This window comes from Homo sapiens, chromosome X (assembly GCF_000001405.40).
Source record: "Homo sapiens chromosome X, GRCh38.p14 Primary Assembly".
NCBI classification, from domain to species: domain Eukaryota; kingdom Metazoa; phylum Chordata; class Mammalia; order Primates; family Hominidae; genus Homo; species Homo sapiens.
The window spans coordinates 33,542,995-33,554,337 of record NC_000023.11 but is presented as its reverse complement, the minus strand read 5'-3'; the positions used below and the strand labels follow the sequence as shown (position 1 = coordinate 33,554,337).

The window sequence follows — 11,343 nt, the reverse complement described above, 5'->3', positions numbered from 1 at the left end:
AGAGGCATACTTTACCATTTAATAACAAAGGTTCCTCTTTAAATTATATCAGTTCCTTGTGATTTCCATTGCTAAATATGGAAATAGACATTTACAATACTGTACTTCACATTTACTGCCTTAATATTTATAGTTTATCGATATGTAATATTTGTACATATTTATGAGGGAGATGTGATGTTTTATTACATGCATAGAATGTGTAATGTTCACCTTGGTATTTAGAGTGTCCATCATCTCAAGCAAGTATTATTTATCATTTCTATGTGTCGGGGATATTTGAAGTCCTCTCTTTTAGCTATTTTGAAGTATACGGTACGTTGTTCTTAACTATAGTCATCTTCCTCTGATACTGAATATTAGAACTTATTTCTTCTAATCTATATACCTACTGATCACCCTCTCTTTATCTTCCCTTCACCTACACACATTTCCCCTCTTCTTGTATCTATCCTTCAGCTCTATACTGCCATGAGATCGACTTTTAAAACTCCCACATATGAGTGAAAACAGGTGGTATTTGTATTTCTGTGCCTGACTTATTTCACTTAATATAAGGACCTCCAGTTTCATTTATGTTGCTACAAATAACCTGATGTCATTGATTTTTATTGTTGAATAGCTTTCCATTGTCTATATATGCCACGTTTTATTTGACCATTCATCTGTTGATGGACACTGAAGTTGATTCCAGATCTTTGCTATTGTGAACAGTGCTGCAACACACATAGGTGTGCAGGTTATCTCTTTGATATACTGATTTATTTTACTCTGCATAAATACTCAGTGGGATTCCTCGATAAAGTGGTAGTTATATTTTTAGTTTTTTGAGAACTCTTCATACTGTTTCCCATAGTGGATGTACTAATCTATATTCCCACCAACAGTGTATAAGGGTTCCCTTTTCTCCACATTCTAGGTAGCATCTGTTATTTTTTCTTTTCAGTAATAGCCATTCTAACTGGGGTAAGGTGGTATCTCGTTATGGTTTTGATTTGCACTTTCCTGATGATTAGCGATGGTGAACATTTTTTCATGTACCTGTTTTGCATTTGAATGACTTCCTTTGATAAGTGTCTTTGCCCATTTTAGTGGAATTATTTGTTTTTATTTTACTGTTGAGTTTTTTTATTTCCTCGTGCATTTGAGATAATAGTCTCTTATTGAGTAAATATTCTGAAAATATTTTCTTGCATTTAACAGTTTGTCCCTTTATTGTGTTGACTGTCTTCTTTGGTGTGCGGAATCATTTTGGTTTAGTATAGTCTCATTTTTCTTATTTTTGGTTTTGTTACCTGTGCTTTTGAGGTTTTAGCTATAATGTCTTTGCCTAGAGCCATGTCCTGAAGTGTTTCCCTTAAGTTTTCTTCTAGTCATTTTAGAGTTTTGGGTCTTACGTTGAAGTCTTGAGTTGATTTTTGTTTATGGTGGAGATATGGGTCCAGTTTCAATCTTATGCATATGGATATTTTTTTTCAGCAACATTTCTTGAAGAGGGTATCCTGTCCCCAGTGTATGTTCTTGGTGCCTCTGTCAAAAATCCTTTGACTGCAAATATGTGATTTATGGGGTCACTATTTTATGCCATTAGTCCACGCATCTGTTTTTGTATCAATAATATGCTGGGGGAGCATGGCCAAGATGGCTGACAAGAAGTAGCTACAGTGTGTGAGTCTCACAGAGAGGAACTAAAGGGACAAGTAAACAGAGCACCCTCAACTAAAACATCTAAGTACACACATTGGGACTAATCAAGGAAACATCTTGACCCATGGAAAATGGAGAAAAGCAAGGCATAGTGATAGCCCACCCAGGAGCAACACAGAGCCAATGGAATGCCCTGTGCACAGGGAAGCAGTGAGTGAATGTGCGACCCTGATCAACAATGCTTCCCTCATGGATCTTTGCAACCCTCAGGTCAAGAGATCCCCTCATGAATCCACTCCACCAGTGCCTTCAGTCTGACACACACAGCTACTTGGAGTCTCCACAAAGCAACCACAAGGCATACACAGAGAACCAAGAGCATTACATACTCCTCCTCAGGGCTTCCCAGCAAAAGCAACTGCAACTCTGGCAAAGCGAGAGTTACAACTCTGTATATACCCCTACGAAAGAGGCTGAGCAGTCTTGGTCTGTGGGCCGCACTCCCATGGTTCCTCACAGGTTAAGACCCAATGGCTTGAAAATCCAGCCAGCCACTGGCAACAGTGTTTTGCCTACCTGAGACAGAGTTCCTGGAGAGAGGGGCAGGTCACCATATTTGCTCTTTGGACAACTCAGCAATCCCAGCCTACAGGCTTTGAAGAGTCCAAACCAACTGGGAATGGAAGAAATCCCTTAGCACAGCAGAGCTTCTCTGGCAAAACATGGCCAGACTGCTACTTTAAGTGAGTCCCTGATCCATTCCTCCTCACTGGGTGGGATCTCCCAATCAGGAACTCTAGCCACACCCACCAGTGTTCTCTGGCCCACAGAGATTTGAATTCTCCCTGGGATGGAGTTCCCGGGAGGAGGGGGAGGCCACCATCTTTATTTTTGGGAAGACTTAGCTATTTCAGTCTCCAGGCTTTGGACAGCCCAAGCCAACTGGGGATGGAAGTGGTACCCCAGCACAAGACAGCTAAGCATGGCCAGACTGCTTCTTTAAGCGGGCCCCCGATCCTGTTTCTCCAGACTTGATGAGACCTCCCAACCAGGGTCTCCAGCCACGTCCTATAGGTGCATCCAGCCCAGCAGCAGGTCTATAACTCCCTGAGATGGAGCTCCCAGAGGAAGGGGAAAGCTGTCATCTTTGTTGTTTCACAGTCTTCACTGGGGATACCTCCAGTTACAGGAAAATCCAAGGTGACTAGGGTTGTAGTTGATCCCCACCAAACCACAGCAGCCCTAAGAAGTGACCAGACTCTTTAAAGAAAAAACACCCAGCCAAAGGCCAGCAACCTCAAATATTGAAGGTAGATAAGCCCACAAAGATGAGCAAGAATCATTGTAAGAACGCTGAAAACTCAAAAAGCCAGAGCACCCACTTTCCTCCAAATGACTGCATCACCTCTCCAGCAAGGGTTTCAAACTGGGCTGAGGCTGAGATGGATGAAATGACAGCAGGAGAATTCAGAATATGGATAAAAATGAATTTCAATGATCTAAGAAAAAGCATGTTGTAACCCAGTGCAAGGAAGTTAAAAATCATAAGACACTGCAGATGACAGGCAAACTAGCCAGTAGAGAGAAAAATGTAACCAACCTGATAGAGCTAAAAAACACATTAGAAGAATTTTCTAATGCAATCACAAGTATTTATAGCAGAATAGACCAAGCAGAGGAAATAACCTGACAGCATGAAGACTGTCTTTCTGAAGTAAGACATGCAGAGAAGAATTTTAAAAAAGAATGAAGAATGAACAGAGCATACAGGAAATACAGGAATATGTAAAAAGACCGAATCTATGACTGATTGGTGTACCTGAAAAAATGGGGAGCATGAAACCAATTTTGAAAAAAAAAACATATTTCAGGATATCATTCGTGAGAACTTCCCAAACCTAGCTAGAAAGGCCAACATTCAAATATAGGAAATGCAGAAAACCCCAGTAAGATATGAGGAGATCATCCTCAAGACACAAAATCGTCAGATTCTCCAAAGTTAAAAATGAAAGGAAAAATGTTAAGGGCAGCTAGAGAGAAAGGCCAAGTCACCTACTAAGGGAAGCCCATCAGACTAACAGCGAACCTCTCAGCTGAAACCCTACAAGCCAGAAGAGATCAGAGGCCAATATCCAACATTCTGCAAGTAAAGAAATTCCAACCCAGAATTTCATATCTGGCCAAACTGAGCTTCATAAGTGAAAGAAAAATAAGATTTTTTTTTAGTAAAGCAAATTGTAAGGAAATTCGTTACCACCAGACCTGCCTTAAAGGAGCTCCTGAAGGAAGTGCTAAATATGGAAAGAAAATACCTTTACCAATCACTACAAAAACACAATGAAGTACAGAAACCAGTGGAAATATAAAGCAACCACAGAAACAAGTCTGCAAAATAAACAACTAATGTCATAGTCACAGGATCAAATCCACACATATTAATGCTGACCCTTAACTGTAAATAAGTTGAATGTCCTAATTTAAAAACACAAAGTGGCAAGCTGGAAAAAAAAAAAGACCAATTGGTATGCTGTCTTCAAGAGACCCTTCTCACAAGCAGTGACACACATAGGCTCAAAATAAAGGGATGGAGGAAAATCTACCAAGCAAATAGAAACCAGAAAAAAAGGTGGAGGTTGCAATCCTAGTTTCTGACAAAACAGATTTTAAAACAACAAAGATCAAAAAAGACACAGAAGGGCATTATGTAATGGTAAAGGCTTCATTTCAACAAGAAGAGCTAACTATCTTAAATATATATCCACCAAACACAGGTGTATTCAGATTCATAAAGCAAGTTATTAGAGACTTTCAAAGAGACTTAGATTCAAACACAATAATAGTGGGAAATTTTAACACCCCACTGACAATATTAGAAAGATCATCAAGACAGAAAAATAACAAAGATATTCAGGACCTGAGCTCCACACTGGATCAAATAGACCTGATAGATATCCACAGAACTCTTCACCCCAAAACAACAGAATATACATTATTCTCATCCCCACATGGCACTTACTCTAAAATCAATCACCTAATTGGAAGTAAAACACTCTTCAGCAAATGTGAAAGAAATGAAATAATAACAGTCTGTCAGACCACAGTGCAATCAAACTCGAACTCAAGACTAAGAAATTCACTCAAAACCATACAATTACATGAAGATTGAATAACCCGTTCCTGAGTGACTTTTGGGTAAATAATGAAATTAAGGCAGAAATCAAGAAGTTCTTTGAAACTAATGAGAACAATGATACAATGCACCAGAAGCTCTGGGGCATAGCTAAGGCAGTGTTAAGAGGGGAATGTATAGCACTGAATACCCACATCAAAAAGTTAGAAAAATCTCAAGTTAGCAACCTAACATCACAACTAAAAAAGCCTAGAGAACCAAGAGCAAACAAATCTCAAAGCTAGCAGAAGAAAACAAATAATCAAATCAGAGCCAAAATGAAGGAATTGAGACACAAAAAAATTCAAAATATCAATGAATCCAGGAGCTGTGTTTTTGAAAAAACAATAAAATAGACCATTAGATAGACTAATAAAGATGAAAAGAGGGTAGATTCAAATAAACACAATCAGAAACAACAGGGGAGACTTTACCAATGACCCCACAGAAATACAAACAACCATCAGAAAATATCATGAACACTTCTATGCACATAAACTAGAAAATCTAGAAGAAATGGATAAATTCCTGAACACATACATCCTCCCAAGACTTAACCAGGAAGAAACGAGTTCTGAAATCGAAGAAGTAATAAATAGCCTACCAACCAAAAAAAGCCCAAGACCAGATGGATTCACAGCTCAACCTACCAGATGTACAAAGATGTGGTGCCATTCCTACTAAAACTACGTAAAAAAAAAATTGAGGAGGAGGGACTCCTCCCTAACTAATTTTATGAGGACAGCATTATTCTGATACCAAATCCTGGCAGAAATACAGCAAGAAAAGAAAGTGCCAGGCCAATGTTCTTGATGAACATTGACGCAAAAATCCTTGACAAAATACTGGCAAAGTGAATCCGGCAGCAAATCAAAAAGCTTATCTACCATGATCAAGTAGGCTTCATCCCCGGGATGCAAGGTTGGTTCCAAATATGCAAATCAACAAATATGATTCATCGCATAAACAGAACTGAAGACAAGAACCATATGATTATCTCAATAAATCCAGAAAAGGCTTTTGATAAAATTCAATACCCATTCGTGTCAAAAACTCTCAATATACTAGATATTGAAGGAATATTCCTCAAAATTATAAGAGACATACATGACAAACCCACAGCAAACATACTGAATGGGAAAAAGTGGAAGCATTCCCCTTGAAAATCGGCACAAGATAAGGATGCCCCCTCTCACCACTCCTATTCAACATAGTTTTGGAAGTTATACCCAGGACAATAGGGCAAGAGGAAGAAGTAAAGGGAATTCAAATTAGAAGAGAGGAATTCAAACTATCTCTGTTGGCAGATGACATTATTCTATATCTAGAAAACTCCATAGTCTCAGCCCCAAAGCTGCTTAAGTGAAGAAGCAACTTCAGCAAAGTCTCAGGATACCGAATCAGTGTACAAAATTTTCTAGCATTCCTATACACCAACGGCAGTTAAGCCGAGACCGAAATCACAAACCAACTCTTCCTATTCACAATCACCACAAAAAGAAGAAAATATTTAGGAATACAGTTAACTAGGGAGGTGAAAGATCTCTACAAGGAGAACTAGAAAACACTCCTCCAAGAAATCAGAGATGACACAAATGGAAAAACATTCCATGCTTATAAATAGGAAGAATCAATATTGTTAAAATGACAATAATGGCCAAAGTAATATATAGATTCAATGCTATTCCCATTAAACTCTCATTGACATTCTTCACAGAACTAGAAAAAAATTTTTAAATATAATATAGAACCAAAAAAGAAGTCGAATAGCCAAGGCAATCCTATGCAAAAAGAACGAAGCTGGAGGCATCACGCTACTCAACATTAAACTATAATACAGGACTAAAGTAACCAAAACAACATAGTACTGGTACAACAACAGATACTTAGACCAATGGATCAGAATACAGAACATAGAAATAAGACCATACACCTGCAACTATCTGATCTTTGACAAACCTGGCAAAAACAAACCATGGGGAAAGGATTCCCTATGCCATAAATGGTACTGGGATAACTGGGTAGCCATAAGCAGAAGATTGAAACTGGACTCCTTCCTTACACTATATTCAAAAACTAACTCAAGATAGATTAAAGATTTAAAAGTAAAACCTGAAACTATAAAAAATCCTGGAAGACAACCTCAGCAATACCATTCAGGACATATGCATGAGCAAACATTTCATGATGAAGATAACAAAAGCAATTGCAACAAAAGAAAAAATTGACAAGTGGAATCTAGTTAAAGAGCTTCTGCACAGCAAAATAAACTATCAACAGGGTATACAGACAACCTACGGAATGGGAGAAAATTTTTGCAATCTATTCAACTGACAAAGGTCTAATATTTAGCATCTACAAGGAACTTAAATTTACAAGAAAAAAAAACCCCATTAAAAATGGTCAAATGACATGAATAGACACTTCTCAAAAGAAGGCTTACATGCAGCCAACAAACATAAAAAAAACTCAACATTACTGATTATTAGATACATGCAAATCAAAACCACAATGAGATACTATTTCACACCACTCAGAATGGCTATCATTAAAAAGCCAATAAATAATATATGCTGGTGAGGTTGTGGAGAAAAAGGAATGCTTATACACTGTTGATGGGAGTGTAAATTAGTTCATCCATTGCAGAAGGCTGTGTGATGATTCCTAAAAGTCCTAAAGACAGAAATACTATTTAACCCAGCCTTCCCATTGCTGGGTATATGCCCAAAGGAATATAAAATGTTTTATCATAAAGACACATGCACAGGTATGTTTATTGCAGCACTATTCGCAATAGCAGACATGGGGTCAACCTAAATGCCCATCAGTGATAGACTGGATGAAGAGAATGTGGTGCATATATATACACCATAGAAGACTATGCAGCCATACAAAGAACAAGATCATGTTCTTTGCAGGGACATGAATGGAGCTGTATGCCATTATCCTTAGCAAACTAATGCAGGAAGAGAAAACCAAGTACTGCATGTTTTCACTTATAAATGGTAGCTAAATGATGAGAAAACATGGAAACATAGAGGGGAACAACACACACTGAAGCCTATCAAAGGGTGGATGGTGGAAGGTGGGAGAGGATCAGGAAAAATAACTAATGGGTACTAAGCTTAATAACTGGATAATGAAATAATGTACAACAAACACCCATGACACACATTTACCTATGTGACAAACCTGCACATGTACCCCTGAACTTATAAGTTTAAAAATAAAAGGAATTCAAATAAAAAAGTAATAATATGCTGTTTAATTACTAGAGCCTTGTAATATATTTGGACATAGGTAGTTTGATACCTCTAGCTTTGTTCTTTTGGCTCAGGATTGCTTTGGCTATGCAGCCTCTTTTTTCTTCCAGACAAATTTTAGGATTGTTTTCTGTTTTTTAGAAAAGTGACATCGGTATTTTGCTAGAGATTGCACTAAATCTGTAGATTTCTTTCTGCATTATGGTCATTTTAATGACACTAATTCATCTTATTCATGAGCATGGGATATCTTTCCATTTGTTTGTGTTCTCTTCAATTTCATTCATTAGCGATTTGTAGGTTTTTTACTTTTTTAGGAGGCCTTTCATTTCCTTCATTAATTTTATTCTTAGGTATTCTTTGTAGCTCTTGTAGTTGTGATTGCCTTCTGGATGTCTTCTTTAGTTCATTCGTTTTTTAAATATAGGAATGCACTGATTTTTGAATGTTGTTTTTGTATCCTGCAACTTTACTGAATTTGTTTATTAGAACTCATAGTTTTCTTTGTTGTTGTTGTTGTTTATCTCATTCTCTCCTGACCTATAAGATCTCTGCTGAGAAATTTTCTGTTAGTCTGAGTGTTCCTTTATAAGTGACTAGATACTTTTCCCTTGCTGTTTTTGGAATTCTCTTTGACTTTGACTTGTGACAATTTGACTATAATGTGTAGTGTTGAAGTCCTTTTTGCATTGTATTATATGGGGATCTCTGAGATTCTTGTATCTGTGTATCTACATCTCATGCTAAATGTTGGAAGTTTTCAATGATTGTTTTGTTAAATAGGTTTTTTATCCCTTTGTCATTATCTTTGCCTTCTGGGACAGTAAAAATTTGAAAATTATGGTATCCCATATGTCATGTAGGCTTTGTTCATTTTTTAATTATATTTTTTAATTTTTTCTACATTATTTCCAAAGACCTACATTGAAATTCTAAAATTCTTTCTTCTGCTTCATGTAGTCTGTTGCTGAAGCTCTTAAACATATATATATATGTATAATTTTTATTCAATTAATTTTTCAATTCCAGGATTTTTGTTTGGCTCTGTTTTTATGATATCTATCTCATTAGTAATTTTTTAAAATTTCTTTTTATTGTTTATCTGTGTTCCCTTGCATCTCATTGAGCTTCCTTAATATCATTATTTTGAATGATTTTCTAGGCATTTCGTACCTTTCTTATTGGACTCTGTTGCTGGAGAATTATCGTATTTATTTGGTGTTGCATATTTCCTTCCTTTTTATGTTACATTGATATCTGCACATCTGGTATAACAGTTGCTTCTTCCAATTTTTTGAATTTGCTGTTAGGGGAAGACATCTTACAAAAGATATACCTATGGTATTGATTGGTTAGGGCACTTTAGCTTTGACTCTCTGTGTGTGCACTAGTGTAGTTCCCATATAATTTATTTAGCTGTGAATGGCCTCAATGGTTTCTGTGATTTTCTCAGTGGCTTTGTGCGTGGTTTTAAAAAGAGGCTGTGGTGAAGTTTCACCTGGAATCGAGACACCAGGTGTGCCAGTTCTCAGGCTCCATTGGTGGCAGCAGCAGGCCGAGCGCGCCTGTCCTTGGGCTCTTGTTTGGGATATGCTAGCCCTGGTATTAGCAGGTTCAGGCAGCCTGATTCTTCGGCCTGCAGGCAGTTTGCTTGGGTGTCAGCAGTGGCAGTGGTAGGCTGGGTAGGTCCTTCGGTCCATGGGCAGTGGGTATGATAGGTACAATGGCAATAGAAATGATGGACTAACCCTCTGGCTCTCAGGGGATCCATACTGGTGTTAGTAGTGGCTGCATCAAGCTATGCTGGTTAGTCCCTTGACCCACTGGTGGCACATGCAGATAGGTGCCAGATGTGCTTGTAATAGCAGGCTTAGTGGGCTCATCTCCAGGCCCCTGGGCAAGGTGCTCAGGTACTAACTGTGATGGACAAAGTTGGGCAATCCCAGCCCAGATAATGTAATCTGCCACTGGGAAGGGTGGGGTCAAATTGGGCAACTCTGTCTTTAGGCTCCCTGATGGTACATCTGGCCACTGGCCATCGTGGACAGAAATATGGTTGTCCTCAGGACCCCTGTGGAGTGCTCAGGTGGAAATGGCAGGAGTGGTGGTGGTCAGAGGAACCTCTCCTCAAGCATGCAGAAGTACATTATGGCCCTGTTCCCGGAAAGAGCACGGTGCTGTCAGTGGCAGCAGCCATAGCCAGGCAACTGGGCAGTGCACAGTTCAGCACCAGTGACAGCTGTGTGCAGGGGAGCCTGTCCTCAAAGCACATGTAAATGCATGTGAGCTCTACTGCTGAGGTTGACAAGGTTGCTGCCAGTGGCTTACGCTTGGGTTACCTGGAAGCAACAGCCAATAGTGGCAGTGGCTGTGGGTGGGGATCCTGTCCTTAGAGTACATGCAAATGTGCAGTGACCCTGCTGCTGAAGTTGGTGGGGTCACTTCCAGTGGCTTCTGCTTCAGCACCCAGTGGCCACGTCTGGTGATGGCTGTGGCTGCAGGCAAAGTAGCCTGTCTTCAGGGCATGTGCAAATGTTTGGCAGCCTTGATGCTTGTGAGGGTGGTGGGTTTACTGCCAGTGAGGTGTGTTTCAGCACTCACTGGCAGCAACAATTAGCATTGGGGCATGCCTGTGGACAGGAGAGTCTCTCCTTAGGGCGTGTGTAAATTACTGTAAACCCTGCTGCTAGGGGCAGTGGGATCACTGCCAGATGGAGCAGCCAGTAACAGCAGCAGTTGTAAGCCTGGGGAGTCTACACTCTGGGAATATGCAAATGTGTGGCAGCTCCACTGCTGGGCATGTCCGGGACACTGCCACAGGCTCACACTTCAGTTCCAGTGGGAATAGCCAGCAGTAGCAGTAGTTGTGGGCAGGGATATCAAGGCGGCTTCAGAGATGTGGCGATGAAGGGGCTTTTAGACCACAGGACAAGATGCCACCTGATGGGAGCTAGGCTCTCAAAATGGCACTATGTTGTACCTGCTTGCGTCCCGTGGGTATGTGTAGGACTTAGCATGAGCTCCCTGTGTAGAGCAATGCCTTCGCATGATCTCCAGGCAGCTCCCTATGTTCAGGGCCCATGAGGATCAAGGGGCTGGCCTGTGGCTAGGATTGCAGGAGTTTACTATGGGAATATAAACTGCTCAGATCTCTCACCCTTTCCTCGCACTGGGGAGCCTCTTTGAGCTCCTAGACAATCCTGGAGGAGCAGGCTGCCTTGCTTACCTTTCCTTCCTTGCCTTAGATATTTCCCGTCTCTTCTC

At 39.8% G+C, this 11,343-nt stretch overlaps 1 annotated feature.

Moving 5' to 3' along the window:
- Positions 10,007-10,523: an enhancer, noted in NCBI's record as "H3K27ac-H3K4me1 hESC enhancer chrX:33561932-33562448 (GRCh37/hg19 assembly coordinates)". NCBI's record gives its function as "activates a minimal SCP1, AML or CMV promoter by ChIP-STARR-seq in primed H9 embryonic stem cells {active_cell/tissue: H9 hESC(primed)}" and the evidence as "EXISTENCE:reporter gene assay evidence [ECO:0000049][PMID:30033119]".